Source organism: Homo sapiens, chromosome 13 (assembly GCF_000001405.40).
Source record: "Homo sapiens chromosome 13, GRCh38.p14 Primary Assembly".
In the NCBI taxonomy this organism is placed as follows: Eukaryota; Metazoa; Chordata; class Mammalia; order Primates; family Hominidae; genus Homo; species Homo sapiens.
In genome coordinates this window covers 27655593-27672702 of record NC_000013.11, presented here as the reverse complement: position 1 = coordinate 27672702, position 17110 = coordinate 27655593, and the positions used below count along the sequence as shown (strand labels likewise).

General features: G+C 40.2%; 1 protein-coding gene across 4 annotated transcripts in view; it reads right to left on the bottom strand.

The window, feature by feature from the left end:
• The window catches only part of POLR1D (RNA polymerase I and III subunit D), a 46669-nt gene continuing 34850 nt past the window's right edge, over window positions 5292-17110 (bottom strand). For all 4 annotated transcript variants that reach the window (XM_047430381.1, NM_001206559.2, NM_152705.3 and 1 more), the window contains one exon: window positions 5292-7017. In XM_047430381.1, the coding sequence (XP_047286337.1) occupies window positions 6750-7017 (268 nt within the window). In that variant the 3' untranslated portion in view covers window positions 5292-6749. The remainder of the gene's footprint in view (window positions 7018-17110) is intronic.

The following is a 17110-nucleotide window of genomic DNA, read 5'->3' as shown; positions in this document are numbered from 1 at the left end:
TGAGCACATGCTTTTGAGAGTAAATCATTAATTTTAATTTTGAGTTTTGCCACATCCTCCTCTTGGTTTCCAGACTAGTCGTGTCCTGGCTTTGGGAGAAAAAACAATTTGTTGGTCACTAATTCAGAGTACATACTGCATCCTGTTAAACAGCATCCCAATCTCATAATGCATTGGGAACATGGGGAAATGAACATAGTTAACATGTAAGAAAAGACATTTGTGATTTATTTTCATTTTTACATTGATATAATTATTACTATGTTTGTTCATATAGTTCTAAAGCAGAATAATTAAAACAAGAACAAAAGCCCAGTGATTAAATCAGAAGAAAGTTTTAGCAAACATCTAGATAAGGATGCTATATTGTCTGCTTAGGCTGCCATTGCAAAGTACCACAGCCTGAGTGGCTTCAACAACAGAGATTTATTTTCTCACAGTTCTGGAGGCTGGAAGTCCAAGATCAAGGTGTCTGCAGGGTTGGTTTCTCCTGAGGCCTCTCTCCTAGACTTGCAGATGGAAGCCTTCTCCCCACATCCTCACATGGCCTTTCCTCTGCATGCAGGAGCCCCTGGTGTCTCTTTGTGTATCCACATCTTTTTCTTTTTTTCTTTTTTTTTTTTTTTTTTTTGAGGTAGAGTTTCACTCTTGATGCCCAGGCTGGAGTGCAATGGCACGATCTCAGCTCACTGCAACCTCTGCCTCCTGGGTTCAAGCAATTCTCCTGCCTCAGCCTCCTGAGTAGCTAGGATTACAGGCGTGTGCCACCACGCATGGCTAATTTTGTATTTTTAGTAGAAACGCGGTTTCTCCAGGTTGGTCAGGCTGGTCTTGAACTCCTGACCTTGGCCTCCCAAAGTGCTGGGATTACAGGTGTGAGCCACCTCGCCTGGCTTTCTTTTTTTTTTTTTTTTTTAAATAAGGACACCAGTCAGATTGGATCGAGGCTACCCTGACAGTCTTTTATCTTAGCTACTTCTTTACAGTCCCAATCTTCAAATACAGTCCCATTCTGAAATACTGGAGGTGAGGACTTCGGCATATAAATTTGAGAAAGACACAATTCAACCCATAACAGATAAATACTGAAGCCAAACACAAAACCAACTGTGAAACTCTTAGAAGAAGTACTTTGTCAACAAAAGAGAACATTTTAAATATTTCTGGAAATACTGAGCCATTGTGCCCTCTTACAAATTTTTTGAGTATCTGCATTACCACACCTTTGTCAGAAGAATTACTTAAAATGACAACAGCAAAAACAAAAACAAAAACCTCAAAGTCTTTGCTAAATTGAAAGGTAAAAAAAATTGTTTTAATTTGCATCTTTTTTTGTTTACTGCTGATTTGAACATTTTTTCATATGCTTATTGGACAGTTGTATTTTCTCTTCCATGAGCATTTCATCTTTACCAATTTTTTTTACTGTGCTCTTAGTTTATTTCTAGTAGTTTTACATGAGCTGGTTTTATATCATACATTGCCTGCTGTGTCTGCTGTTAATACTTTAGAGATTCACATACATATTTTTAAGATTCATCAGATGCATGTTTTTAGAATTCATCAAAATGAAAATTTGGACTCTTTAACAAAATGAAAATGAAGGAATCTGCACTGTTTTTGTGCTGATGAACAACTACCAACTGCTTCACCAGTATGGAAGATCAGAATAACTGCAGGCAGGGCCAAAAAAATTTCAGGAAGCAAGTATTGTACTGAACAGATACTCTGTAGCTTTAAGTATGGAAGACACAAGCATGGCCTAGATTTTGGAAACGGGGTTAAATTGTCCAGGTCTGGGCCCAGCATGTGCTTGTCATAATCTCCTGATTCTCTAAGTGTTCACTGAGTGAGAGAATGAATGAGTACACCAATGGTCTGTTCTTCATGCAGGATGTGGGATTAAAAATAAGTCTTGTGGAGTTTTCTTTGTAAATTGGTACTGAGCTTTGAAAGGAGTATTTAGCAGACTGATGAGTGTAATTTGGAGTAGATAGGGGCTTATAATTGGACAGTATATACTAGTTCAACTTGAGGGAGCTACCACTGAGGAATTAATAAGAAAAAACAATCCAGGAAGGACAAGGGACCACCACTTAGGGCAGGCTATACATTTATGTGGAGGAGAAATGTCTCCCTCAGGTGTTTCATATGATGTGTTATATCTGGTATTTGTTTCACATAGAGAGTATTTATAAGTTATCGAAACCAAAGGTGAATATTACAGGACTATATGGATGGGAGAAATAGTTCATCTTTCATCTTACTATTAATGATGCTCCAAAATCCATGTTTATTATTGGCCTTTTCATGGTAATGTTCATTGAGATTTATAACATGGGTTACCAAATAAAAATGTATAAGTTGCCTTTGAATTCTGCCTTCAGTGTTGCCTTGCCAGTTTAATGGGGATTAATTTACTTTCCTCTTTATGTGTTCCTGTGTGTAAAAGGGCATGCTTCCTGGGCATCTTTTCCATGTTGAGAACAAGAGTTTCCACTTGGCAAACTAACCTTCTCAGTATCTAGACTCAGAAGAGCCATGGGTGAGGCTCAATTTATGATCTGCTGACATGGCTTTCCAAGAGATAGTTTCTCAAATTCCTTGGATTATAGAATGTTTTCTATGGTATCAAAGAGGCCGCGTCCCAAGGATTTCTTTACTCCCAAATCTCACTATTCTTATGGATGGAGAAAAAAAAATTCAAACATGGAAGATCTAGAATACTGGCTTCACCTGAGGTTTTAGTTTTCCATAGCTATATTCCATTAGCTGCCATTTAACCATTTCACAAGAGTTGTGAGAGTTTTTCTCTTGGATTCAGATCGCTGTCTACACTGGCCCTTGGGAAACAGTTCCCCATACAAATGTTCTTTGCTGGGGCTTCCATGTTCTGATCTATGGGAGTAGATTTTGGCTTGCAAAATGCAGTGATTATAAAAGTTCTTTAGGTTCTTAAATTGGGAAGACATGGAGCATATACACCTTGAGACGACCCTCCCGTCCTGTGTTTTGAGGGAGCCGAGTTTGGATTAAGTTTGGCATAGGGTACAGGAAAGAGTATGGGTTTTTGATTCAGAGAGTCTTGGCTTCAGCTAGCATTTCTGCCACTTCCTAGTTCTGTGATTTTGGGCAAAGTTTTTAATCTATCCTCAGTTTCCCTTATTTGTAAAATGAAGGTGAGTAGCATCTTCTTCATAGGGTTGTGGGATAACTACCTGAACACAGGTAAAAGATATAACAGTGTTTGGCCACAGGTGATAGACAATCACTGTTACTGTCCACACAGTTCCAATACAGCCTACAAACACCTCATAGGGAGAATATTTATGGGTTTCCTAGATTCAGCTCCTCTGGGGAGGGGAGTCCTCTATACTGGATCCCAGGACACAGAACACTCCTTAGGAAAGTGATGAGGCTTCATTTCATCAGGAACCCACCTCATATAATGTCTATTAAATAGGCACTGCTTATCCACCAGATACTCTTTATGATTCTAAGGTGATGGCATGACCTCTACGAATGACGAATATGTAACTAATTGTAAAAATATGGGCTGGGTGTTGTGGCTCACGCCTGTAATCCCAGCACTTTGGGAGGCCGAGGTGGGCAGATCACCTGAGGTCAGGAGTTCAAGACCAGCCTGGCCAATATGGTGAAACCCCGTCTCTACTAAAAATACAAAATTAGCCAGGTGGCACATGCCTTGTAGTCCCAGCTACCCGGGAGGCTGAGGTAGGAGAGTTGCTTGATCCTGGGAGGCAGAGGTTGCAGTGAGCTGAGATCGTGCCTTTGCACTCCAGCCTGGGCAACAGAGCGAGACTCCATCTCAAAAAATAAATAAATATGTAAGTGCCATGCTAAGTCACTTGAATAATCAGTGAAAGAATAAATGCTACCCCAAAGCATTTTTTATGCTTTGAAGCAGATGTGCCAATGTGCCCCCTGCCCCCCTGCCAACCTCTCAGCAAAAAAGAAGTCCACAGGGAAATTCAAAACTCCACAGCCATCTTCCAGAATCAGCTCTGAGGAAATGTCCTTTAGTGCTTAGCCTGCTGAGCCCTAAAGTAAAACCCACTGAGATTTATAACATGTGTTTCCAAATAAAAATTTATAAACTGCCTACTCAGAGGGACCTACCCTAAGTCCCTCCCCCTTCATAAATGGGCGATTCAGAAAGACTAGCCACCAATAGGTGACCAGATATGGCTAGGAACCATAGCTTTTTGCTTATATTTCTTACAGGCTGTTTTCTAACATGAGATAAAACAAAAAATTATGTCAAGTTGCATTTGTGTTTAAGTCTTAATGGTTTCTAGTGGAAGCATGGAACGCAGTTCCTAAAATTTAGGGCTATTTGCACTTCTTTCTTTACCTATTGAAAGTTAAAGACTCACTCCAAACATCTTAGTTTGCAGATGAAAAAATGCAGTCCAGAAAAGTGACCCAGATAAGGCCTGAAGCTAGCCAGAAGCAGAGGCAGGACTAAGATTCAGTTTCTCTAACCTCTATCCCAGGCTTTGTGATCTCTAAATATAGTTACAATGGAGATCAGATAGTAACACAGGCGGATGGGAGCTCTTGGCAGCGCCAGTATGTTAACCACAGAAACAGGAGGTGGCTGGTGAATGTATCTCATGACCAATCCCTCCCCTAACATCTACTGTATACATAGGGAATAAAAAATAGATAATTTTCTCTTGACATTTTTAGACTGGAAATTATGGCTGCTCTTGATAGAAGCCTAAAGATTCCAATAAACTTTTCTGAAATAGAACAGTGCTTTTAAAAGGGAAAATGGTTTTGTAGGCCACTGTCGTTTAACACAACTTAAGAAAGGTAAGTATAGTTAGGCTAAAAAGCTTCCCTTAATTTTGAGTACAAAAATGTGTTCATTTCAGTCATTCCCTTTTAAAGGATAATGAACTTGTCTGTGTGTTATAAATACAGAATGCAAGGCTGGGTGCAGTGGCCCACGCCTGTAATCCCAGCACTTTGGCAGGCCGAGGCGGGCAGATCACCGGAGCTCAGGAGTTCGAAACCAGCCTGGGCAACGTGGCGAAACCCTCTCTCTACTAAAAATACAAAAATGAGCTGCACATGTTGGCGCACACCTGCAATCCCAGCTACTCAGGAGGCTGAGGCAGGAGAATCGCTTGAACCCAGGAGGCGGAGGTTGCAGTGGGCCGAGATACGTGCCATCACACTACAGCCTGGGGGAAAAGAGCGAGACTCCTTCTCAAACAAAATAAATGAATAAATAATGAATAAATACAGAATGCATACACAAATGACACAATTCAGCTTTATTTTTACTTAATTATAACAATTTTTAAAAACTCCATGACTTTGTGCTATTTCTAATATTTAAATAAAAAACATTTCAAATTTTGCACAAATAATTTAGGCCAATACATAACTAGATTTGAATAAAGTCAGATGAAGCAATAATTCCTCCTCTGTGTTTGAAAGGAATGAGTGTGGTTACAAAGTCACAGGATGAGTCCCTGGGATCTGGGGTGGGAGAAGGGGTGGATCAAGAATGACTTGGGCTTGTCACTCCCTAGCAGGCTGAGGGCGTGACACAGCAGCTCGGTGGCGGAGAGGTCTATTCTAGTTTCTAACACTCCAATGCTAACTTTTTGGATGTATTTCCTTCTAGCATGTAGAAAGGGCTTTTCTTGGCTGCCAGGAAGTAGGGAGCAGGGATGTGGCATGGTGATGATCTGAGGACAGCCAGGCATATGCTCAGACACTTTGGAAAACTGGGGAGGGGGAACAGGGAGACAGAATCTTCATCTTCTTCCTTTTGTGAACTGGGGAGGAGGGTGCTTGGTGACATTTTCCTGAGTATAAAGAAGGAATACAGGTTTGAAAGGTTTGTAATTGTATATGAAAACAGGTATTGAAAACCAATACTGGGGGAAAAAAGGCATTGTAAACACTTCTATTTAAAATGAAGATTTCTGGAACAACTATACTATATAGTGGTATCACAAGTCTTTAGCTGGTAAGATCTAGCACTGAAACAACTCTTAATTTTTAACTTGTGAGGGTTCTTTTTAAAGCACCACTTAAGACCTATATATTAAAAAAATTAAATATAGAAAGATTGTTCTATCTAATAAATGAGTTTGAGAATGCACAGGAAACAACAAAACCCATTTTTAACCTCTGGTAACTGAAGTGGAGCATTAAATTCAAAGCCACTTTGAGGATTTCCTACATTGTTCACCTAAGGGAAAACAAATGCAGAGCTATCAAAGAGCTTCTCGATAAATTCCCAGACCTTGGAGGGCTACAGCTTTTCATAAATATGGTCACTGGACTGATGATTTCTAAATTTTAAATGTAATACCCCCAAAAAGTAAAATATAGGATTTATAAGTATTTTATTTTTCTGAGAAATGACCAAAAAATTGGAACCAGTTTTAACAATCTCTGAAAACTTTAAATTCTAGACATGTTTATTTTGAAACACACTTCCAAACAAGATAAACAACAATATGTAAGTCTACTACACTGCAGAAGTAGCTTAAACTTGCCAAGACATCCTCCTTTGCACTTGTTTCCTCAAGAGTTGCTAGGTCATTTTTTTTGCCTGTGGCCAGCAGCCTCTTTAAAAACAACAAAGGACCTAATGTCAAAGTCACTCTCAGGTGTTTGCCCTGCCAGCTCAGGCCTTCTCCGCACACCGCACCCCGAAGGAGCACGGAGGCCCGCAGGGCTGGCTGGCCCTGGTTCCAGCCTCACCGCCGGTTGGACCGCTTTTCGTACTTGTCCTGGCTGCTCCGCTTTCGTGGCGGGGAGTAACTGGCGGAACCTCGAGCGCGGAAGCTGTGCTTGTAAGGATGGCTTCTGTGTTTCTTCGGGTTTTCTTCTTTCTGGGCCTGGCTCTTCGCTGGTTCCTTATCGCCCTCTTTTTGTTCATGGTCTTGCTCTTTATGAGAGGGCAATGTGTTTTTAATTGTGTTAATTAGAAATCTTTTATTGGTGCTAGCAAGAGGACACTTCATCCTGGGGTGGGGAGGAGAAAAGAAAAACCATCACAAATCAAATGGTTAACTCCAAAGCTGGACCCACTATCGTGATTAGTACCAAAGAATCCTGCTCCCACAGAATCGAGTTTCTGAATTTGTTAGCTTTCCTTGCATGCCACCTAGTGTAAACTCTGAGTACCAGGGAGGAAAAAAAAAGACGATTGGAATTCTTGAGACAAGACTGGCTGGAACACTTTAAACCTTTCTTCCTTCCTGGGACTAAATTTCCTACTGAAGTTCATATGTACAGGTATTGACCACACTGTGAACTAACAGAATCATTTAATATTTTCTTTCAAACTAGTAAGTGCCCTATTTTACTGTAACTTATTTTGGATTAAATTTATTGCATCTTGCGTTTTATTACCAGACAGTGAAAACTGTTCCTTTCCAAGGAAACTAAAAAGTATATTCTGCTGTATATTAAATACAGGAGCTAAAGGATCTACTATAGAATAAAAAAATTGTGTAAAGAATCCATAAATATGCAATAATCTTTTACTTAAAAAAATTCTTACACTTCTATTTCAGGATGCCAGGCTATGCTCTGTGGAGGAGCACTTTACTCAATCTCCTGCCCTGGTGAATTTCTGTGCAGGATATATTTCAGTACCTTCATGATTCAAGTTTACCTAGGAGAGGCTGCAACCAATCAAATTGCTAATTAATGTGCTTAGATCTACTTATATACTATGTATTATCTTTTTCAGGTGTTAATAAATCTTTCATTTTCAAAAAGATGACCCTATACAAATGAGAACGTTCATATTTCTCTTAGCCTTGAGGTGTCTGCCATATGATGGGCTACTTTAGGAGTATGCTGATTCTCAAAATCATGTTATTCAGGGTGGCTGGTATTAAACAAAAACGAATGTAGAATAGCCACATTTCTATAAAACTTTGATTTACAGAGAACCCCAAACAATACTTCAAAATCAAGCCAACAACACTCCACATAGGAATTGTGTGGACTAGTACTGTACAGGTGAAGTATAAGCAGTCAGGCATTAGCATAGCCTCACTCACAGAGGTCAGACCATCTCAGAAAACCAAAATGGCACTGAATCTGGAAGTAAAAGGAAGAAAAACAAGAAAATACCTCCTGCTGCAAATAGGTAGCTCTTGAGCCTACAAGGACAGAGAAAATATCTGAGAAAAATGGTCAGGCCAGAAAAGTGACAAAGGAATGAACTAGAACAAGGAGAAACTTAGAAAAGGACAGTGGAAAATTAGAAAATTTAAGAAAAGGACAGTGGAGTGCAACAGAAATAGTGGGAACATTCAGAGGTGGTGACAGCTCTGGAGTTTAGAAGCCACAGTGAATGAGACGAAGGGCAAAGAAGAAAGGCAAAAACAAAGAAAAAACAGTTCTGCAAGTACGAACTATAGAGCTTCACAGAGCTTCCAGAAAAGGTACACCAGCATTACGCTGCCTTAGTAGTCTCAAGGTAAAGACATTTCTACCTCCTGGGGGCACGCTGGCATTAGGACATTCCTGTGCGGGAAGACAGGCACGTGATGAGAGGCAAGCCGAGTTCTCCTGCAGGGTCTGACAGGGTACTACTGAATGCAGGCGTTGCTTTGGTGAAGACACTTGACCCACTGCAGTTGCAAACTCAGCAATGATTCAGAACAGTATTAAACACTGGCATGTTCCAAAACAGCATAACACAGACAGCCTACAGGAAAAACTACCCTCCATCACAGAGAGTAAAAAGCTTAGAGGGCCTGTCTTTGGCAATGGTGGCCTGGTGCTTACTACAAGAGCAAAATCTTTTTTATAGACAAATGAACTACATATGTCTCTTGGATATATAGGGCTAGGAGTAGCTGGTGAAACATGTCCAGCAACAGAAGAATTCTGGGGTCTTTTCACTGAAGTGGGCCATCTCAGTGGTGGTAAACTGGCCAGTTCTTCTCTGCATTAAACAACAAGGAAGGGTACTTTTCCCAGACGTGATGGTAATCCAGGATCTCAGAACAAAACCTTTGGTAACTACTGGTGAATTCCACTCTATTTTGCTGTTTTCAATGTCAGATCATCTTTAAAACCAAATGCTTCCTCGAGGTGAGCAAAGCCCTGCTACTAACTGCAGCATTCACGCCAAGAGGCAGAGGGGACTGCACCTATCTTCCAACTGCTAGTGTAACCCACTGACTCAACATAGTGACCCAAAGAGTTAGCCAGAGAATGAGATGGTTTTATAGAATAATTCCACAAGAAAACTGGCATTTACATCTCTTTTAACATCAGAGATGCAGTTTTTTAATGTTGGTTATGCCTGGGATTCTATTCTAGGTAAATAGCCAAGGGTGGCCTGAGGAGATCTTGGTTTACTGGGGTGGGGTGGAGGTGGGGTTTGAAAGTCAGACATCTCCCAGGCATGCCAGTACACATTTTAGAAGTGATGACAAGTGCTCATTCACACTCTACTAATAAATAGGGCAGGGCAATGAGATACAGTAGTTGCAAGCAGATGTGAAGGTACATATAGTAAATCATTTTATATAAAGAAATTCCAAAATCTGCACAGAATAGATCCAAGTCTAAGGACGGCAACATCAAAACCAATGTCTGAGGGAATCAGTGGGGAGAGCTTCTCTGGCCTTTAAGGTAGAAATTAATTTTGCTGAATCTCACAGTTGGTTGTTTCATTGCTAAGAAATCACACTACATGAGACAGTGGCTGGGCACACATGCTCTGGAATCACACTAACAGACTGGACTTTGGGCATGTTATGTAATCTCCCTGCTGCCTCTTAGCTGTTAAGTGGGGATAATAATGGCGACTATCTTAAAGGGTTGCATGCAGATCAAATGAATTAGAACATGTAAAGTACTCAGAACAATGCCTGACACATAAAGGCATTTGGTTAATTTCAGTTTTGGTTCACAGCCTACTATTTAATTAGCTGTGTGATCACAAGCAAGTTACTTAACTCCTCTTTGCATTCGTTTCCCCCACTTGCAAAATGGGAATAACAGACGTATCTACCTTATAAAGTTATTGTGAGGATTTAATGAGATAATGTATAAGGCATTTAGCATGGTATCTGGCATACAGCAAACTGCAACAAATGTTACCTACAGGTCCACAATTTCTTATCCCTAATTCCAAAATTTAAAAACCTATTAAAACCAAGTTATTTTTATGACACCAAAGTTTGTTTGGCAGCAAAACTTGATCTGACCTGACTTTGGGCTATTTATATAGTCTTTATCCCATTTAATATAAACATTCATGTTTTGCTGAAGAAATGATACCATGTTGAACAAGTACAGAGTAGTGGTGGGGGGGGTGTCTAGTACATGCTATCTGTGCTGTAATACCTTTCTAAAATGTAAAAATATCTAAAATTAGAGACTTATTTGGATACAAAGGTTTTAGAAAAAGGATGGTGGACATATATTATTTTACTCTCTCTTCATGAGAAAGAGTACACATAGCTCTCAAATAGGCTAATACATCCGGAATTTTTGCAAGATGGCAACTCAAGATATCCCAAAGCCTCAAATCACCTGTGATAATAAGTTAATCAAGAACAGAGTAGAATCTCTATGAAAGAAAAGATTAAGAAAAAAGTAAGCCATCATTAAAAGTTAATGAGACATTTTACATAAGTTTCCAAAAAAAGGGTTAAAATTTAAAAGTTTTGGTACTTTTAACATGGTTAGATTTGTATTTGTAGAAGTTTCAGATTCCCGGCTATCTCAATTCTCCATTGCCACCGGGATCAAGAGGCTACTACATACTACCTTTGAGCTTATCATTTGTATTTCCAACTGTTCCACAAACCCTCTAGGCCTCTGTCCTCAGACGTAAAACTAACGGTTGAAGTAGGTGGGTGATCTCTAGAGTCCCTTCCAGTTTTAGGATCCTCTGCTCATGCTCTGTACATTAACTCTTTAGAAAAGTTCACTCTTCTCATTCATCACATTAGGAAATTATTTCTTACTGCCATTTCCCGCCTCCCCCGATCTTCCACAGTATTTGAGATGACATGATAAACTGGCATTAGACACTCCACCATTCCTGGCTTTTCTCGTATCAGCTTTAGGGTAACCATCTGAGCCCTGAAATTGAGCATAAGATCATAGGCCACGGCTGCCTGCTGTGTCTGCACTGTCTGTCACTGTCTATGCCCAAAAGGTGTGCTGGGGGAAGGACTGGAGGAGGCCACAGGACAGGGCAGCTGATTTCCTGTCTTAGCTCTGACCTGGGGGGCGACTTTCTCACCCTGGCTAGTTATTTTTATATTTAGTTTATTTTTGTTTCTAGAAAGTTATGCTAGCTCACATGGTAAGAGCCAGATTTAAGGTGCTAACAACATAAATGGATATAAACCCTAAATATCATGAGACTGGTTAAATCTGCTTTGGAAAGTACCCATGACACAATGTCAGATTTGAGATCTGGCATTCTATCCAGGTTAAACTTTAAAAGGAAAGCAATTTCCTTCACTTTGAAACCTGTGGGCTCAGAGGCTGTGATGGAAGGGTTCCACATGCCATGGGAAAGGCTGACTGCTCAAGAATCTGCCACTGGAGAGATGAAGACTCACTGGGGCTAGAATTATAAGCTTTTCATCTTTTTTGTCTCTCTTGCTGAAGGATAGAGGTAGTAGTATCTAACTTTCCACAGATTTAGACCTGCTACCTTTTGCTTCTAAAATATTTCCTGAATAGGACCTATCTGAGAGTGACACAGGATCGCCAGCCAACAGGGTACGTTGAAGACACAATTACCTTGTGCTATTCCATTACCAATGTTGCCTCATTTCATCTCCACAGCCGTCATCCGAAAGGAAAGAAAAGAAAAAAGGTACAGCGCCTATCCACATCCCAAGCTAGTAAGATGCGGAGCCAGACTGGAAGCAGGGAGTCTGGAAAGGGGCAGAGAGAGTGGAGCAGAGAAAGACTCACTGCAGTCCAACCAGATGGCCAATTAACAGAGCAGTCAAGAAAGAAACCGCAGGTGAAAAGCTTGTCAGCACGCTGTGGCTAAGGCTCCTCATCCAGGACAGGCATGAAGCAGCAGATGCACACACAGTGACAGGTCTGCTGAGAACAGCTGGCCACTCAGGAGCCCAGGAGAGTCACCAACACAGCCAAGGACAAAGGTGGAGAGTCCCTTAAACATGCCTGACTCTGAGATGTGTGAAGTCGAACAGGTAGTGGGAAATAAGAATTATTTTTATGGTTAGGGAATAGACACCTTGGAGTCATGGAAGCAAGTTTCCATGCAGTGCACTTCAATGCGTTCTTTTATTCTATGGACAAATCCATTCCCATACTAGCAAATAGCGTATCTTCCATTCTGTACGTGTCTTTGCACTCTCATGGATGTAGGTCTGGAATAATGCATCTAGAAAGACTGAAGCAGAGGCCTAACTCTCCCAACTCTGCATGAAACAAGGGGAATATTTTTTATCTTGATGCTGTGGTTGATTACAACTCATTTTGTTGTTTAATGCTGCCACAACTACCAAAACCACCCATGGTGCTACAGTTTATAATTTGGCAATCAAATGCCTCAGCATGTGGCCACCTGAAAAATGCTTTTTATGGTGTTATAATCCCTATTAGTAAGCTGTTAACCCTTAATTACTGTGTACAACAGTCCTGAGGCTCACAGTGGGTGTTCAATGACTGTCTCCAACATTGTACCTAAAAGTAATAAAAAATCATTGACATGTGTTTGTCTGTATATGTATGTGTGTGTGTGTATGTGTGTGTATATATATATATATATATACACCTGAGATATGCAACGCATTATGCTAAGCACTGTAGCAAAGATACATACCAAGCTATCTGTTTATGTGTCTCTGTCTTTGGAGACTACCAAGAGGAACAGAAGGTAGGGGAAGTCAAAGTTCAGAAGCAGATACGTGAATAGTAACACACTGAGACAGTTTGCAAGGCTATAATCCTCGGCCTCCAGCTCCCTCAGCAACGCAAATCATTTACATAGATATGTGCTCTAACAGTAACACATTCAGGGCTCTCTCATTCACTTTCATAACTGGATATGAAAGGAATGTGGGAAGCAGGGGCAGTAAGCATTGGCATTTCAGCATGTTATCAGACAATAATCCACAGAGAGAAGTGATGCCATACAAGGAGTGTTAAGTGACAGATAGGAAAGCAAAGTTATAGTCCCATCAGCAATTCGCTAGCCAGGGCTTTAGGAAAACTCTTTGGGTTTCATGTTCTATACGTATAAAGGCTTTGGATCTCTGTGGCCTGAAAATATTGCCAAGAGCCTCCTCCACGAATCGTCTGAGATGTGAGCCCTTGCTCCCCTCCTCATTGGTTCTAACACAGTCAGTGTGGCATGCCACACTGTGATCACTTGATGCTTGTTTCTGTATCCACCAGGGGATTAAAAACTTTAAGGCCAGGAAAGTGAGTCTTCTTTACTGCTGTCCATGATCAGCCTCTTAACATACCTGCTGGTGCCCTGTGAATATTTATATAAATAAATAAACACATGTCTGGATAAAGACTGGAGAAATTATTTAGTTTCCAATAATCAACAGTTGATGACATAAACTGGAAGAACAAGATGGGTGACTTCCTTCCATATCTCTAGATTGACTCTCAATCCAAACAGAAAAGCATAAAAAAAAGTCATTCCCCTTAAAACAATTGGGTTAAGAGAACTCAAGAATCATTTTCTCTCAATTCAACCTTTAGGATTTATTTTGCCAAAATATAAGCTTTTCCAAGTATAAGGCTGAAGTTCCACAGGCACTAGACTCAGAAATTATATTGGGCAGTAGATAAGCTAAAGTGAATGTGACCAGAATTAAAACAGCTTTGTAGACAATGAAGCTGGGCAAATTTCTGAAATTTATGCTTATAAATTCCTTTATGTTGACTAAAAGGAAGTCATATGAGCCAATATTTCAGCTTCTCCTAAAGCATCTGTCAACAACAGCTTCTAAAGAGATTCTTTTGCTGAAATACATCCAAGGAAGAATATAGCACCAAATGGTCTCTTTCTTTATAAAATAAAAAATGGCATCCCACTTGCATTTTCTTTAGATCAGCAATCTCTCTCTGGCAACTGCTCAACCATCTATTTCTTATGGAATATCCAAAATGAAAAAAATAATACCACTCACTCTAGTTCTATTTTAAATTTTAAAGCAAATAAAAGGTCTTCTAGATACTTAGAAAAAAACAGGCCATGGCCACTAGTGAACAACAGATTGCTACTCTTTTAAGAACTGTCCAAGAAGTCCACTCCACAGCGATGGGTCTTGGGACTCTTGTGGCTGAACACCTGGCCAGGCTACCTAAGTGCTATTTCAGTGCAGAGGAGCTGTCTGCCTCTGGCCGAGGTGTAGGATTGTTCTGGATTCTGCAGAGCAGGCTGGTATCATTCTTTTTAATAAAACAAAAGGGACTAGTAAAATGTTTTTCAAATTTGTGTTCACTTTAGAATCACCCGGGTAGCTCTTTAAAACTCCAAAGCCCAGGCCACACCCCAAGTTCATAATCACTGATAGTGGGGCACAGGCATCAGTATTTTTTGAAGCTTTCCAGGTGATTCCAAATGTGCAGATAAATTTGAGAACTAATGACTAGTGGTTAAAAGTTTCTCACATACACTTATTTAAATAAATGGAAACCAGGTGATCTTCCAGAACGAGCAGATGAAGGGCAGGTGCCCTTTGTCCCAGCACTAGTGAGTAGAAGCAAGCCACGGTTGTCATGGGTCCAGACCTCCTTTCATAGCCCATATCTGTTTGGGTGTGCTGAACTGCTGGACTGAACTCTGGCTAGGAAAAAACAGTTGCCCCTGGAATAAGCAAGTACCCAGAGATTCCTGCTTCCAGAGCAACACAGATCAAGAATCAAAATGTGAACATTATGAGAGAGATAGAGAAAAATGCAGATAAACTTTTTATTTTTAATGAAGTGAAGTCTTCTATGGGATTGACTTGCTCAATTGTTCAGAGCAGTGCTTCCCAAACTTGATTGATGAGATCTTCTAGTAAGCTTAAAAAACTAACAAACAAACAAAAAACCTGTAGGACCGATCTTAGACTTCTCTATCAGAATGCCCTAGAGTGAGGCAGGGAAGGAGATGTGTATTTTTATTTTTTATTCATTTTTTATTTTTTTGAGATGGAGTCTTGCTCCGTCGCCCAGGCTGGAGTGCAGTGGCGCAATCTTGGCTCACTGCAACCTCCGCCTCCTAGGTTCAAGTGATTCTCCTGCCTCAGCCTCCTGAGTAACTGGGAACACAGGCGCCACCATGCCCAGCTGATTTTTTGTATTTTAGTAGAGATGGGGTTTCACTGTGTTGCCCAGGCTGCTCTTGAACTCCTGAGCTCGGGCAATCCACCTGCCTCGGCCTCCCAAAGTGCTAGGATTACTGGTGTGAGCCACAGCGCCTGGCTGGAGATCTGTATTTTTAAAAACCTCTCCAGATTATTTTCTAATTAAAAAAACTCTGTTAAAAAGTGATAAATAGAAGACATATTTGTTATATATTACTGTAACAGAGCCCCTGGTAGAGGGTTACAATGGATAGCATTCCCTGCTTCTCATGCTCCCCTTAGTGCTCACTGTTAGGAGGCCTAACTTCTCACAGACCTTTATGCGTTACGGGGTCCCATGGCCTTCCCTGACCTGGCCAATAGAGGATTACATGCATTGATCCACAACTCAGGTTTTCACATACATAGTAGATATTTTCTCACAAGGATTCATATAGTGCTGACCAATTCTTTTTAGTGACTGTAAAATATTCAACAGTAGGATGTACCACAGTTTATTTAAGCATTTTCCTATCTATGGACATTTGGACTGCTTCCCTTTTTTTACTATCAAAATGTGCTACAATAATTCTGTACTTAGGTCTGCACACATTTATTAAGTTCTATGAAAGAGGGATTACTGGGAGCAGAGATCCTGGGTAAAGGGGCACAGAGAACTGTGACTCAACATTTTGCCCATGGCCCTGCACAGAGCAAACCACACCACTGCCTGAAGCACAACACTGCACCCCTTTCCACATCCCTTCATCTCCACTGGATTACTGCCTCTTTCATTTCTGCCAATCTAATGGTGAAATTTAAGTGCTATTTAAGAGGAATATAAATACCTATGCATGCACTCCCACCCCCATTAGATTATAAATTCCAAGAGAGCAGGAATCTTTGTCATTCTGTTTACAGATACATGAGTGTCAAAATAGCAGAGCCTAGCTCTGCTAAGTACTCAATAAATGTGTTAGTATGTTTACTTACTGGCCATTTGTAGTTTTGATATATACACATACACATACACAGACACAGACACACACAGATATGGTTTTCTTTTTATAAACTGATTTGTAGAAGCTTTTTCAATACTTAGAGTATTAGTCCTTTGTCTGTTATATATGGCAAATAATTTCAACCAGTCTACCACTTGTCTTTTCACAAGTTAACTTTTTGTATGGTATCTTTTTCTATGTAGAAGTTTACTATTATTATGACATGGTTGAATCTGCCATTGTCTCATTCATAGCTTCTAGGTTTTGTGCCTGGCTGAGGGAGGTTTCTACCTTATCCTTGCCAATATTATAAAAATATTATCCTGTATTTTCTCCTATAAGATTCATATTTTGTATGTTTAGTTTTTAATTTTCAGTATTACAGATGAATAGTCAACTGTATCAGCATCACTTACTAAATAATCCACCCTTTCTCCACTAGTATGAACAATGACCTTTTTCCACACAGTTAGTTCATACACATATGTCGGTCTCCATTCTTTTTTTTGTTTTCTTTCCTTCTCCACTCCCTTCCTTCCTCCTGCCTCTTTCTTCCCCCAGTCTCTATTCTTGATTCTCTATTCTCTCACTAATGTCTTTAGTCTTACACGAATCTCATACTAATTACTATAAATTTACATACTATTATTATATTGAGCATGCAATATTCTCATCTCATTCCTCCCAAAAATATCTTAGCTGAAAAATTGCACCTTTATAATGGAGAGATCTGGTAGTCACCAGCTTTATCAAGGGCAACCTGACATTAAGTCCTCCTGATCTGTTGTAATTAAG